Here is a 15807-nt window from a genome sequence, read left to right on the forward strand (position 1 = left end):
TGATCCGCCCACCTTGGCCTCCCAAAGTGTTGGGATTACAGGCATGAGCCACTGCGACCGGCCAAAACATGAAATTCATCTATGTTTAATACACACCTTAGGTACGTAGCCTAAAGGGAATTTTATATAACATCTTAAATAATTTTGTGCACTCATCACATGTGGTCAGGTGTGAAATTTTCCACTTGTGGCATCATGGCATTCAAAAAGTTTTGGATTGGCCGGGCAAGGTGGCTCACGCCTGCAATCCCAGCACTTTGGGAGGCCGAGGCAGGCAGATCATGAGGTCAGGAGATTGAGACCATCCTGGCTAACATGATGAAACCCCATCTCTACTAAATATACAAAAAATTAGCCGGGCGAGGTGGTGGGCGCCTGTAGTCCCAGATACTTGGGAGGCTGAGGCAGGAGAATGGTGTGAACCCAGGAGGGGGAGCTTGCAGTGAGCCAAGATCACGCCCCTGCACTCCAGCCTGGGTGACAGAGTTAGACTCTGTCCCCCCCACCAAAAAAAAAAAAAAAAGTTTTGGACTCTGGAGCATATTGGTTTGGGGTGCTCAACCCGTAAATGCAGATTTGGGTTTATTTCCACACAAGCTGAGCCTGCTATCATAAACTCAGAAATATGCCGGTGGGGCTGGGCGCGGTGGTCATGCCTCTAATCCCAGCACTTTGGGAGGTCAAGGCAGATGGATCACTTGAGATCAGGAGTTCGAGACCAACCTGACCAACATGGAGAAACCCTGTTTCTACTAAAACTACAAAATTAGCTGGGTGTGGTGGCGCATGCCTGTAATCCCAGCTACTTGGGAGACTGAGGCAGGAGAATCGCTTAAACCTGGGAGGTGGAGGTTGCAGTGAGCTGAGATTGTGCCATGGCACTCCAGCCTGGGCAACAAAGTGAAGGTTCATCTCAAAATATATATATATATACCAGTGGAGTTAGATTAGGTAGAAAAACCCATGGTTGGCCGGTGCGGTGGCTCATATCTGTAATTTCGGCACTTTGGGAGGCTGAGGCAGGCAGATCCCCTGAGCCCAGGAGTTTGAGACCAGCCTGGGAAACATGGCGAAACCCCATCTCTAAAATTAAAAAAAATTACAACAAACAATCACGGTTAATGTACAGGACAGAGTGGGGAAGTCAAGGGAAGAAACATTGACCAGGGTCTCCAGAATAAATCTCATCTAACTCCAAGAAAAGCTGGGCTTTCCAGCAGAAACCAAACCAGAGGCATATGGGCTAGCACTCAGTTTCCCATGGAGTTTTGGTCCCCAAAACCCTGAGCAACGTAGGACTGTAGGACTGGCAGCTTTTCCAGCCAGTCAATTGCAAGCTGACCACTTGGGGAAACACTGCTGTGTGGGGTAGAAGCAGAAAGGCGATTTAGCTGGTGAGACACAAATATCTCCAAAACTAAGTGTATTTAAAAGGACCCCAGCAGCCAAATAGTGAGAAAAGCAGTCTATGTGGGTGACTGCAGATTAATGCCTTGGGCTGACTGCCCAGTTTATAAACATCCTAGTGCCCTGCCCTAACGTAAGAAAAATATGTCAGGAGAATTCAATATTGTCAGTCCCTTGGCTGGGCCATAGCGACGGTGATGGGGAGATGCACGATAAGTTACTGGAATGGGGGAAGTGGACCACCCTGGTGAGAGAAATAATGGCAGGACTCCCACCCTGGCCATGACCCAGTCCGCAGTCACGTACAGACGTAGTTTTCCAATTGTTTTACTCTTGAACCCTTCTGGCAGGACAAAAGACCCTATGGACGTTCAGGTTTGCCAGAAAATAGTTATATAAGCTTAGAGTTGGAAGAAACCAGCTAACTGAGCTCAATCTCCCTCTCCACTTACAGGATGAAGTGTTCCAGGGAAAGGGGGTCAATGTCACAGCTAGTTAATGGCAGAGCCAGGCCCAGGATGAGTCCCCCAATTCCTGGGTTGTGTGTTTCATCTTCTAGCATTAATGTGGTCAAGGGATTTTTTTCAGTTATATTTTAATATGTGGATTAACTTATCAACCAACTAGGGGATAGTCCTTACTTTAAAACACACATCTTAGTGTGATCTGAAATTTCATACTACTTAGAGGGCCCCGGGATACTCAAGCTTTGGGGCTCTGCACATGTGGAGCCAAGGAAGAAATGAGGAAAACAGCTTACAAAAGCTTACAGGAGAGAGAGGAAGCCTACACTGGAAAGAAGGACCGTGTTTTTAAAAACTCAGAAACAACAGCTTAGAGGTTTATTGGTCTGACAATAGAAACGATTGGAGAGTATGATGTTGCACTGAGTCTCCCTCTGCTTCCAGAATAGCCCTACAAGACAGAGGCCTGGATGGTAAAACCTACAACACTTCCAGGCAAGTATTTTCCCCAGAAGGCACTGCTCTAGCTTCATTCTCCATGCAGTCAACACCCACAATGTGCTGGAGGTTCTCTATATATTGGATTCTTATGTTCCTTTGGTAGGAGAGGCTGGGGAGGACACAGAAGCCAGGGATGTGATGTGTACAAAGTCACATGGTTATTGATAGAGTCAATATTCACACCCAGTTCCCAAATTAACTCTAGGCCTCTTTCCACAATGTCAGTAAGCCTTGGGGGAGATGTAAACAGGAGCTTTAACTCCCGGGAAATCCCAGTGGAGACCAAAGGTGCTGGAACCCTGTGGGCTACCTGTCCCTGCATTACCCACACCATCTGAGCTGCTCCCCGTGCAGCCTGCTGCCCGCCCTTCAGGAACCAGCCTCTAGGGCAGCTCTTGCACCCACAGTAAAAGACAACGGACATAGGTACTTTCATGCAAAATCTTTATTTGGAACATGTATGTTACTGAGCAGGCCAGCCGCCATCCTGAAATAGCAAGGATATTTACACTGTGCAGAGAAATACAAGAGCTTCTTGAAGACATTCATCTGTGCTTTGCCGGCATTTTATCTGCTACTTTGTCCTGCTTCTCTCTTCCCTGTGCTCATTATTCTTCATGCACCCTCACCTCTCATCACCTTAAGGCATCCTGTACCAGCCTGATCTGGGGGCGATGACTGCAGCCGGCAATCGGCCATTACCAATGGTGTCTTTCTGGGACCCTTTCTACCTGTCTTAGGTATTAATGGTGCCCAAAGAAAAAATGAAGAGATGAAAGTTTCTGTGGTTAGCTGGGCATGGTGGTGTGCACCTGTAGTCCCAGCTACTAAGGAGGTTGAGGTGGGGATAGTGCTTGAGCCCAGGAGCTTGAGGCTGCAGTGAGCCGTGACTGCACCACTGCACTCCAGGCTGGGCAACAGAGCAAGACCCTGTTTCAAGGGGGGGAAAAAAAGTTTCTTTGGAGTTGCAAGGCCTTGTCTTCACTAAATTTTAGAAGTCCCCCCGAGATGTTTCTGCTTAACTTCTCTGACAGGCCTGACTGTGAGGGCTCGAATTTCAGCTGACCTAGGTGGAGAGTACTTCATTGATTTTTATAATCTGGAAATGACTGCTTTTCCCCTTGCTGGGACATATGGTTTTCATTTCTGTTTGCTGCCATATGCTTCTCAACTTGAACTTGCCTTTGTCTCCTTGCTCCGTGACAATGAATGTCTCACATCTCGGCTCTGCTGCGGGGCAGGGGTGAAGGGAGGTGGAAGAAAGAAGAGATGGTCCTTTGGCTTGGTTGTAAGCCCTAGTAGGGCCTGTCTTTCATACGGAAAGGGTTCCTCCTAACCCCTATCAAAGCATGGGGATGAACGGCCAGACAATCTGGGCTTGCCTTTGGGTTTAAGTTTCAGTCACTAAACAGAGACCACAGAACAAGGACCTCCCTGTCCTCTGCTGTATTCGTACACACAAGTATCGCAGAGGCTTTCCAAGGTCGATGCCAGGAATCTGCAGGAGCCTTGGCTGCCTTCCCACACTGCTGATGAACCAAGGACTGTTTCGACAGGCAGGTTGCTAGCCCACATCAACCTTTTCAAGAGGCCTCAATCTGAATTTATGGTCTTAATGACTCCCTTTTTATTTCTTTCCAACAAAACCTGCAGGCTGGAGGCCATTCTTCCTTTAATGTTATTTTATCATCTCCCCCTTCTTAGTGTGGTGGGTCCCAGAGTGGACCAACCCACACTCCTGGAGAAGGACCTCCCGCCATGCAGATTCTTAAAGGTCACTGGAATGTGTCTCTTAAATCCTGTCCTGAGTAGCAACTCTCCTCCCACAGACAGATGTACAGAATCTGCAGTCAAAAACAAAACAAAAAGAAAATGCAAAAATCCCCCAGCCTGCAACAGCTTCGGCTTAAGAAACACACTCCCACCCCACATCCCGTCTTTTAAGCTTCATCTCCCCTGCATAAATGGGTCTGGTAGAACAATGCTCCCCAACGCTAAAGTAATTGCTTCTAAGAACTTAGGACATGGGAAATGTTTCTCTAAGCTCAAATATGGATAGAAAGACAATTCTGCTGCACTGGTCACTTTGCAAGAGATGCTATCCTGACATTTAATTGTGTATTATTTAATCATTTAAAACAAACAATAATAAAAAACTCAGCCAGAACACGCAAACGTGATCTCTGGGGGTCACAAGATGAAATGGTAGGTGAATGTTATCTTCTATCAGCCCCTTTTGCCTCCGAGTTGGGAAAGTAGTTGTTTCAACAGATCAGCTTCATCCTTTTTCTTCAGAAGCCCCAAACCGAGATGCTGTCAGAATAAGTCATTTTGCTGCTGCAAAAAATGATCACAGTCTGGTTTCTGAGTCATCTGAGTTTTAAAACGTAAACTTCCATTAACAACGGCCCTTCACCAACAGTAAAATGGGGCAGCAAAAGTTCTACTTAGAATTTCCACGTGAATGAAACCCGCAACCTACAACTCTGCTAAGGAAACCAGGATCTCAAAGAACAGATTCATGTTTTAGGGACTTTAAAAGAAGAAATCCAAGCAGTTATGCACATGGACATAATCCTGAAAACCCAGTCAGGGGCTGGGTGCACTGTCAGTGAGGAGTTTTTCTGTACTTTGCAGAAACATGAGGTTGAAAGTGATAATATAGATATTTGGTTTTCAGTCATTCAGAAATTTTCTTCAAAGAAAGGCAATTTGAGCTAAATTACCATCATTTTCCCTTCTTTTGCAAATCAAGAAATACTAATCCATTGCATATGTAATCCCTCATATAATTTTTAGCCCAAATGGTCAAAATTACAACTTTTAATTTTATGAGCTCCAAATTATTAAACACCAACAGTAAATTGTGTGCATGAGAAGAACAAAGACAAATACAAAATATAGAAACTTTTTCTTCCAGCCACAAAAAACGAAGTTATGTATGTATGAGAAATAGAAACAATAACTAAACAATTAGTGTTAAATTCAAGACCTCTGGGAAAGCTGTTGTTGGTTATAGGCTATTATTTACCTTAGAATATGAAAGTTTAAAGGTCAAATTTTCAAGTTAAACTTTTCAAGTTACCTTCCCCCCAAAAAAGATTTACATGTAGGCTTAAATTTAGAACAGTTAAAGTATAAATGTTGAAAATTTCAACTTAATTCAGAATGGTTTCAGAAAGATATGATACAACAATTTAAGATAACAAAACAGAAGCGCATCACATTTTGGTTTGAGAATCACAGAAGGTACAACAGTTTTTCTTCCTTGGGGATCCTTCTCTTTCTCTTGAGGAATGAGCTAAAATTAAGTTATTTTGATTCAAAGAGGTATTTAGATGGTATCAACAAAATTTCAGAGGAAATCAGAACGGAGTTCATATACATGTATGGGTATGTGTGCATACATGTACGAGTATACATGTGCACGTATATAAATGTATATACACATATACCTTCTTACGTTTGCATTTAAAGAGGGAAGACCCCACAAAGACCTCCAGGCGCCTCAGCCCTTATTTGGTACTACCAGGTGACTTCAATGATTCACCAGCTACAACAGTGTCTGAACTCTTCCCCACTCAACTTTTCCTGGGAAGAGGATCTTTTTGTTTCCCGCACTTATTGCTGCTGTGAAAACTGGAGTGCACTCTCACTTTTCATAAGAGCTGAATTCTGGACTGCAGATAAGTGTTTTGAAAAGGCTTGGAAAGATTTTTCGGGGCGACTTAGGTTCTGTTTTGTTTGTTACAGTCCAAATACATAAAGTTATTATGAAATAAAATCATACGGTACAGATGAGAACAGGCCGGGACAGCCCGGCCAGCCGTTTTAGGGCCAAAGGACAGATCACCCAACGGTTCACATTTTAGGAATTCGAAATGTCTAAAAATAGATAAGGTGGTTTCTCTAAAAGAAAATAAAATGAAAGAGAAGGGGAAAAAATAAAAGGGAAAAGGAGGACAGGGTGAAGGAAGGAGGGCAAGAGGTAGCAAGGGAGGGAGGACAGAAGGAAGGAAGAAAGGAAGGGAGGGAGGGAGGGAGGGAGGGGAAATGATTTAGGGAATGTTAGTTGTCAGGAATACCTTACTTAGAAAGAAGGAAAAAAATGCATGAAAAAATGCATAAACTTTGTGCAGGTTAATGCAGTATTAAACACAGTAGAATACATAGGCCTCATAATGCTTTTGTAATGGCATATATATAATGTCCCCAAGCACTTTCTAAAAATATGCAGAGACTAATTCAAGATCATTCTAGATAAAAATACGTATTTCTTTAAAGGGGTGGGGTGGCAGGGTGGGAAGAAAAGCATGGTCTCAGGGTAGATCCCCACACACATACAAAGATAAAACTATGTTTTTTGGTAATTCTAGTTGATACGGCAGCAAAAATTGTCATGACAATGTTGGCTGGTTTTCAGAGGGTTATTTTCAAATATAACCTGATAGCTACACTTGTACAAAAATCTTTGTGAAAAGTTTCTTTTATTAACCCTGTGATATGTCTATATTGACATTTTCTAAGATAAAATAAAAGTAGCAGAGTTGTCAGTGGGTAAGGGACAGAGCTTTAAAGCAAAAGTGAACCCTCTTTGGGTTCCTCTCACACAAAGGGATACAGACTCTTAAATAAAATAATACTTCCTTAAAAATCTGCCGCCTAACAATTGTTTACATCATAGAAAAATAGCATTTTCGTAAAAAGAAATATAGTCACTTTGTTAAAATGGTCTATTTTAAACCAGCAATTATTTTTCATATAAAGAATTTCTAAATACCCATACAGAAAATAAAAATAGATAATACTGAGTGCAAAGCAGACAATGGCGTGTTTGCAAATGATCAAAATATTTCACTGCCAGATAAATAATACTCTTAGTATATTACAGTACAAGTTTTAATTTTTCAGGAACTTAAAAGATATTGCTTTTATTCTCTGATGGCAAGTTACTTATAAGTAAAGTTACTTCCAGCAGCAGAAGGCCAAATTGATTAGAAATGGATCATACCTATTGATTCACATTTCCCCTAAACTGAAAGTGCTGAAACACCGGGCAACAGCCAGTGTCCCAAACTCCTTCACAAGAGCATGGACTGCAGGCCATGGAGACACAGAGGGGAGCACACCATTCACAGGCCTTTCCAAAGCATTTGCTAGATCTTCCACATTGAAATCTTCACCCAGAATGAGAGCAACACCAAACTATTTACCAGCTTAGTCAAATCTGTCATGAGGGAGGGTTTCTGTGAAAACTCCTTCCTAATTATAGGCATTAAATCTTCATGCTATAAAAACAGATGGTTTCAACGGACGATTGCTTTATCGCCACAAAGCAATTCTGAGAGGATGGCAAGTTTCCTAGTGGCAGTGGTAAAGAATGTTATCAGGATGCTAAAAACTCAGCAGCTTCCAGCTTCTACATGGGGAAGTGGGGCTGATAGACTAAATCTACCAGCTACTTGAGAATACTCAATTCGCAACGGAATGCAAGCTCCACCGGCATTTCATCACACCCTCTCCACTCTGCTAGGGTCATAGGAATCTGTAAAATAAGAAAAGAAAAGAAAATTAGTGTTATATTCAACTGCTCTATTTTCTGTTTAATCCTTAGACCACGAATTTGTCTAGGGAACAAAATCTACAAGTGTATAAAGGTTAATTTTTAGACATTTTAACAATCATGTTTTCACTAAGGAGTAAAAAACTATTTGTCAAAAAGGCTGTTTTCAAAGAATTGTGCATAGTCATTACCCAAACACAGATGGGAAAATATGAACTGCTGAATACTTCGGCGGCTCCTTCCTGTTCACCGTGGAATATACTTCACTTTAAACGCAATGTTTCCAAACTGGCAGTGATGTGTTTGGCTGATATTAAGGTAGATGTCTTATCTTTCTTTCTTCTTCTTCTTCTTCTTCTTCTTTTTTTTTTTTTGGTAAATTACAGCTCAAAAGAAAGCTTGCTTTAGAATACGCATCTTTGTGATCAAACGCTGTCCCTTGAAGGCGTGAGGATCCTCAAATCCTGACTGCTTGGCTGGCAGAGAGAGGCTTTCTGTCTCTCATCACCACTGACCACTAGGCAGCCCCAGGGCTGGATGCTCACCTGTCAGCGCAAGGCTTCTAGAGCCTTCTAACACAGGTATGTACGAGTCTGGCCCCTCACGCACTGATCCATTCTACTGCCGTCAATGGAAAAATCCCAATCTGTGCCCAGATGACCTGGATTTCTAAAACGGGACACCATACAAAAGAGCAATCATCCTAAACTGCCACTACTGCTGCTGCTGGGTGCTGCCAAGTCCCACAACCTCCAATTCACAGATGTCTGTCTGGAATCCAGACAAACCTAAGGCTCACACGTGCGCCTCCTGTGGTAAGATTTTCCTGCCATAGCAGCTCAAAGGCTTCTTATTTTTTAAAGAGAAAATGTCTAAGCAATCTGGAAGGAGTACAGCCATTATGGAAACATTATGGAAGTTCCTCAAAAAAATTAAAAATAGAACTACCATATGATCCAGCAATCCCATGACTGGGTATGTATCCAAAGGAAAGGACATCAGTATGGAAGAGATATCTGCACTGCAGCATTATTTACAATAGCCAAGTTCACTGCAGCATTATTTACAATGGCCAAGATAGGAAACTACCTAATCATCAAGGTTTTCATGACTGGATGTATGGATAAAGAAATTATATAGCCGGGCACAGTGGCTCACGGCTGTAATCCCAGCACTTTGGGAGGCCGAGGCAGGTGGATCACCTGAGGTTGGGAGTTCAAGACCAGCCTGACCAACATGCAAAAACCCCATCTATACTAAAAACACAAAAAATTAACCAGGCATGGTGGTACGTGCCTGTAATCCCAGCTACTCGGGAGGCTGAGGCAAGAGAATCGCTTGAATCCAGGAGGCGGAGGTTGCTGTGAGCCGAGATGGCGCCATTGCACTCCAGCCTGGGCAACAAGAGCGAAACTCTGTCTCAAAAAAAAAAAAAAAAAAAAGAAAAAAAGAAATTGTATATACACACACAATGGGATATTATTCGGCCCTAAAAGATAAGCAAATCCTGCCATTTTACAACAACATGGATTAAACTTCAGGACATTATGGTAGTCAAAAAAGCCAGACACAGAAACACAAATACTGCATGATCTCACCTATATGTGGAATCATTTAAAAAAAAAAAAAAAGTTGAAATCACAGTAACAGAGAGTAGAAGGGTGGTTGCCAGGGGCTGGGGTGAAGGAAAAGGGGAAATACTGGCCAAAGGGTACAAACCCTAAGCTATAAGATGAGTAAGTACTGGAGACTGAGTGCATAGGATGGTGACTTTAGTTACTAATGCCATCATGTACACTTGGAATTTGCTGATAGAGTACATCTCAAATGTTCTCAGCACACACTCAAAAAAACTGGTAACTATGAGAGAAGATGACTATGTTAACTGCCTTGACTGGGGTACTCATTTCACAATCTATAGATGAATCAAAACACCATGTTCTATACCTTAAATATATGCAATTTTTGTCAATCATGCTTCAATAAAGCTGGGAAAAAAAGAAAAAGGAAAAAAAACAGCAAGTCTCGGCATGGTCAAAAAAGGTGATTCACTTAAAAAAAAAAAAAAAGGAAATCTGGAAGTATCTGAAAAGTTAGAAAAACAATCTTTTGGCCGGGCGAGGTGGCTCATGCCTGTCATCCCAACACTTTAGGAGGCCGAGACAGGTGAATAACCTGAGGTCGAGTTGGAGACCAGCCTGGCCGACATGGCGAAACCCCATCTCTACTAAAAATACAAAAATTAGCCAGGTGTGGTGGTACATGCCTGTAGTTCTAGCTACTCGGGAGGCTGAGGCACGAGAATCATTTGAACCTGGAAGGTGGAGGTGGCAGTGAGCTGAGATCGCACCACTGCACTCCAGCTTGGGCAACAGAGTGAGACTCGGTCTCAAAAAAAAAAAAAAAAAAAAAGAAAAAGAAAAGTGAAAAACAATCTTTTCTGAAATCCATCTGGACAACTGTGCATTAAAAAGGCCATAGACATTCCAATTTTTCCAGCAGCAAAATGTCTTACACATCCTCCTCACTCCTTTTCAACCTGGCTGAGACAGATGTATGATACAACAGGTATCACGACTGTGATGACTGAGACAGCATTCAGAGTACTTAAAGCCCTACATTACTACCCAGATGGGACAGTCTCTGCATTTAGGAAAAGAAGTTTGCTCAAACGTCATCAGCTGCACGCAGGAATAATCTGGCTAAAAGGAAGGGGAGTTCACATAAATTCTTTCTGACTGTTGATGCTTAACAACATCCATGAAACAATATAAGACATTAATAGCTGGGTGCTTCATTTCTGTGCTCAATCAGCCTCAGAGTGTTCACATTCTGAGAGGGTCCTCCTGTGAGCAAAGGTGTCTTTTTCTCCATTGAGAATAAGGTGTGCGGTCATGAAATTATGAGAACGTGTGGAAGTCACACTTCGGCTAGTGGGAGCACCTGTTATTAAGATGCTTAGTTTCTTCCAGGCTAAGCCTCACATTACATAACACTAGGCATGGAACAGGCCATGCCATGTCTGTCTGTACCACCCCACCCAACACACACACCCTTCGAGACCCTTACTATCTGTGCTGTGTTGTACCTACCATCAAGTGTCTTTAGATTACAGATGGTCATTTCAGCTCACACCTTTTTAGTGGTCTTTTGTGCCAGGCACACTAGAGACACCTCCACAGGACACACCTGCTGCCCACAGTCCCCTGGCTCTTTCTTCAGCTCATGGACTATCCAGGTCCAGTAAAATTATAATGTGGGCCACAAAACATTATTTTTTAGAGACAGGGTCTCACTCTGTCACCCAAGCTAGAGTGCAGTGGCACAATCACAGCTCACTGCAGCCTCAAACTCCTGGACTGAAGTGATCCTCCTCCCTCAGCCTCCCAAGTAGTTGGGACTACAGACATGCACTACCAAGCCTAATTTTGTTTTTCAGTTTTTGTAGAGATGGGGGTCTCGCTATGTTGCCCAGGCTGGTTTTGGGCTCAGATGATCCTCCCACCTCTGCCTCCGAAAGTACTGGGATTACAATCATGAGCCGCCATGCCCAACCATCATTATTTTAAATGTTCTAGTAGCTATGTTGAAACACATAAAAATAAACAGGTGAAATTAATTTTAATACTGTATTTCACCAAATATATTCAAAATATCATTTCAATATGTAACCAATATAAAAATTATTGAGACATTTTAGATTCTTTTTTTGTACTAAGTCTTTGGAATCTGGTGTGTATCTTACACTTACAGCACATCTCAATTTGCATGAGCCATATTTCAAGTGCCCAGTAGCTGTATGTGATGAGCGGCTACAATATTGGACAGCACAGGTCTAGAGGGTAGGGTGGTTACCCGGAGAATTTAGAATCCTGTTTCCTGTGGGCTCCATTTCAGCTGAGGACAACTCACTGAGGACTGCCCTGGTGGGTATTTCACACATTAACGCCCTCAGAGATGTGCTAACATCTAGCCTTCTCATGGCATGATCTGGTATCATGAAGCCTTCCCCGATTTCCCTCATTTTGGGCCTCACACAGATATCTCTTCTCATTCTTCCCCTGGACTCATATTAACAGAGTTTGCAACAGAGGATGATGGAACCAGGAGGTTCTGTGTACGATCAATGCCTGGGATGACACTTCCGAATTGGAGCATCAGTCATCCAGCAAAGATGGGAGTCTGTGACCCGAACTCGTTTTGGGCTGTTGATTTCTTAACCAGAGGCATGAAAGACCACTAAAGACATGTGAGCTGAAACGACCAACTTTAATCTCAAGACACTTGATGATATGACAGGCACGGCACAAGGGTGTGTGTGTAGGGTGGGGTGGTGCGGATAGACATGGCATGGCCTTGTGTTACAGTGCCAGAACAGATGCTTGAATTTAAATGGGCTACAAATTTAGGAGCAATGAAGCAGTTCTAGCATGCTGGGGTCATGGGGGCAGCAGTGCAGTGGGGAAGAGATGAGGATTCTTATGTTTAAAATGATTAAATACATCAAAAGGAAAGCAAAGTCCAAGCGCTTCTCAGTGACTTAACAACAAGGCTTTACTCTAACTTGTGAAGCAACAGTGAGCGGAAAAGTGGACATACGTCAAAAGTATTACTACCTCCATCATATGACCTCAGTTGCTCTCAAGACGAGTGGTTTTGAATATTGAGGCCTGGTGACCATCACATGAAAGGCCCACAGGGGGCCACCTGAGCAAAACAAATGTAAGATATCGTCCCTAATGGTGCTCTCCCCTCCGATTATGGTCATGCGCCACAGAACAACATCTTGGTCAATGACGGGCCACATAGATGACAGTGGTCCCATAAGATAATAATGAAGCTGAAACATTACTGTCATCTAGTGACGTCATGTCATAGTGCAATCAATTTTTAAACAAATGTGGTGTAGCCTAAGTGTACAGGGTTTATAAAGTCTACAGTAGTGTAGAGGAATTTTCTAGGCCTTCACATTCGGTCACCACTCACTCACTGACTTGCCCAGAGCAACTTCCAGTCCTGCAAGCTCCATTCATGGTAAGTGCCCTACAAAAGTGGTCCTTTCTTTTTTTTTAATATTTTATGCCATATTTTTACTGTGCCTTTTCTTTTTGTTTTTTTGGAGATGGAGTTTCACTCTTGTTGCTGAGGCTGGAGTGCAATGGCGCGATCTCAGCTCACTGTAACCTCTGGCTCCCGGGTTTAAGCAATTCTCCTGCCTCAGCCTCCCAAGTAATTGGGATTACAGGTGCCTGCCATTACACCCAGCTAATTTTTGTATTTTTAGTAGAGACAGGTTTTCACCACGTTGGCCACACCAGTCTTGAACTCCTGACCTCAAGTGATCCACCCACCTCAGCCTCCCAAAGTGCTGGGACTACAGGCATGAGCCACCACGCACGGCCTGTACCTTTTCTTTAGATATGTTTAGATACACAAATGCTTTCCATTGCGTTACAATTGCCTGCAGTATTCCATACAGTAACAGGCTGTACAGGTTTGCAGCCTGGGACCAATAGGCTCTACCATGAAGACTAGGTGTGTAGTAGATTCTACCATCTAGGTTTGTAGAAGTGCACTCTCTATGGTGTTCACACAATGACAAAACTGCTAATGATGCATTTCTCAGAGTGCAGCCCCATTAAGCGACGCATGACTGTACTTGAAAATGCCCGAGGAAGCTGTCAACATGAGTGGCTCTCTGCCTGCAGATTTTTGGCCATTTTATTGTATATTAGCAAATGCATCAGATGGAGAGGAGAAAAAAATAATTAAATTTTCTGCTTGTTAGTAGCAGTGGTTAAAAAAAAAACCCAAAAACGTCATGAGGGAGGTGTTGTTAATAACTGGCTAAAATTAAAATTTGCATTACCTGGGTGTTTTTAGATACCTACTGGACCTTCTCACACTAAATAGTCAAGTTAAAAATTGAAGGAGTGCTTTTCTGAACTGGAAATTTTGTGTTATCAAATACTCCCTAGACTGGGCACCATAATTGAGGCAGGAGGATTGCTTGAGGCCAAGAATTCAAGACCAACCTGAGCAGTGTAGGCAAGACCTCATCTCTACAAATAACTAAAAAAATAGCTGAGTGTGATGATGCATGCCTGTAGTCCCAGCTACTTGGGAGGCTGAGGCAGGACAATCGCTTGAGCCTAGGAGTTCAAGGCTACAGGGAGCTATGATCATGCCACTGCACTCCAGCCTGGGCCACAGAGTGAGACTCTGTCTCAAACAAAACAAAACAAAAAACCTTCCTGAAATAGGTTTCCATGAACTGAGACACAGAAATATTTACCAACTGGTACTGTATTATAACAGGATTTATTTGTCTTATTTTAAACTCCTTACAATTTTCAGGAAGATGTAGGACTGAGAAAATCATCCTGATTTTATAGATGAAGAAAACTTGCTTTAGAAGTCTATGACAAGTTTTAACTAACCTTAAAGTCTAGTGGGCATATTTTTTGAGGAGGAAGGGGGACTGCAGAGGAATTATGCTGAAGGCTACAATAAATCCAGAAAGCTCAAAAAATGGGCAGGTAACCCTTTTCCTACCATAATGGCAAAGCCTTCACATTCTCAGTATTCTCTACCACTGCAAAGGCCCAGCTTGTCCAACTAGAGGATCCAACGGGGCCCCGACGAAGGATTATTTCAATCATGTGTTTTGCATAAGGAGCAGAGAAGCAACACTGGCTAACACCCCTAAGAATCCCACTGTATTTGGGGGAAACTTGAGAGTGCCCATGTACATTTTTTTTTTTTTTTTTTTTTTTTTGAGACGGAGTCTTGCTCTGTCGCCCAGGCTGGAGTGCAGAGGCACAATCTCGGCTCACCACAAGCTCCGCCTCCCAGGTTCACGCCATTCTCCTGCCTCAGCCTCTTGAGTAGCTGAGACTACAGGCGCCCGCCGCCACGCCCAGCTAATTTTTTGTATTTTCAGTAGAGACGGAGTTTCACCGGGTTAGCCAGGATGGTCTCGATCTCCTGACCTCGTGATCCACCCGCCTCGGCCTCCCAAAGTGTTGGGATTACAGGCTTGAGCCACAGCACCCGGCCCTACATTTTTTTGTTCAATAGAAATCTCTGACTACTTCCAACTGAAACAACAGCTCTTTTCTATCTGCTTCAAAATTCTTGGGTTTCAAAACAGAAAATAGAAAGGGGTGGGAGGAGCAGAACCACCTGCTGGAGACTGGGTAGGAAGAGGGAAGGGCCCAGCTCAGGAGAGGGCATTCCTCTAACTCAACTCGTAAGGACCAAGTTTTTCTTTTCCCCTTACTGTAAAAGGCTTGGACTGGGCCGGGCTCAGTGGTTCACGCCTGTAATCCTGGCACTTTGGGAGGCCAAGGTGGGTGGATCACCTGAGGTCAGGAGTTCAAGACCAGCTTGGCCAATATGGCGAAACCCCATCTCTACTAAAAATACAAAAATAAACTGGGCCTGGTGACACACGCCTGTAGTCCCAGCTACTCAGGAGTCTGAGGTAGGAGAATCGCTTGCACCCAGGAGGCGGAGGTTGCAGTGAGCCGAGATCGTGCCACTGTACTCCAGCCTGGGGAACAGAGTGAGACTCTGTCTCAAAAAGAAAAAAATGGGAAGGGGAGGGGAGGGGAGGGGAGGGGAGGGGAGGGGAGGGAGAAAAGGCTTAGACTAAATGACAGAAGGTCCCTTCCAGTCCATGGCTTATGATGTGGATCTTTTGACATTTATCTCAACTCTTCTACTGATCACCTGAGCTCAGGAGTTCGAGACCAGCCTGAGTAACATAGTGGGATCTCGTCTCTATAAAAAAATTAAAAAATTAGCTGGAAATGGTGGTGCATGCCTGTGGCCCCAGCTACTCGGGAGGCTGAGGTGGGAGGATCACTT

The 15807-nt window shown here is 43.5% G+C and overlaps 1 protein-coding gene across 4 annotated transcripts in view; it reads right to left on the reverse strand.

The window, feature by feature from the left end:
• Nucleotides 2803-15807, reverse strand: part of JCAD (junctional cadherin 5 associated) — a 102692-nt gene continuing 89687 nt past the window's right edge. For all 4 annotated transcript variants that reach the window (NM_001350021.2, NM_001350022.2, NM_020848.4 and 1 more), the window contains one exon: nt 2803-7917. In NM_001350021.2, the coding sequence (NP_001336950.1) occupies nt 7883-7917 (35 nt within the window). In that variant the 3' untranslated portion in view covers nt 2803-7882. The remainder of the gene's footprint in view (nt 7918-15807) is intronic.

This window comes from Homo sapiens, chromosome 10, assembly GCF_000001405.40.
Source record: "Homo sapiens chromosome 10, GRCh38.p14 Primary Assembly".
Taxonomy (NCBI): Eukaryota; Metazoa; Chordata; class Mammalia; order Primates; family Hominidae; genus Homo; species Homo sapiens.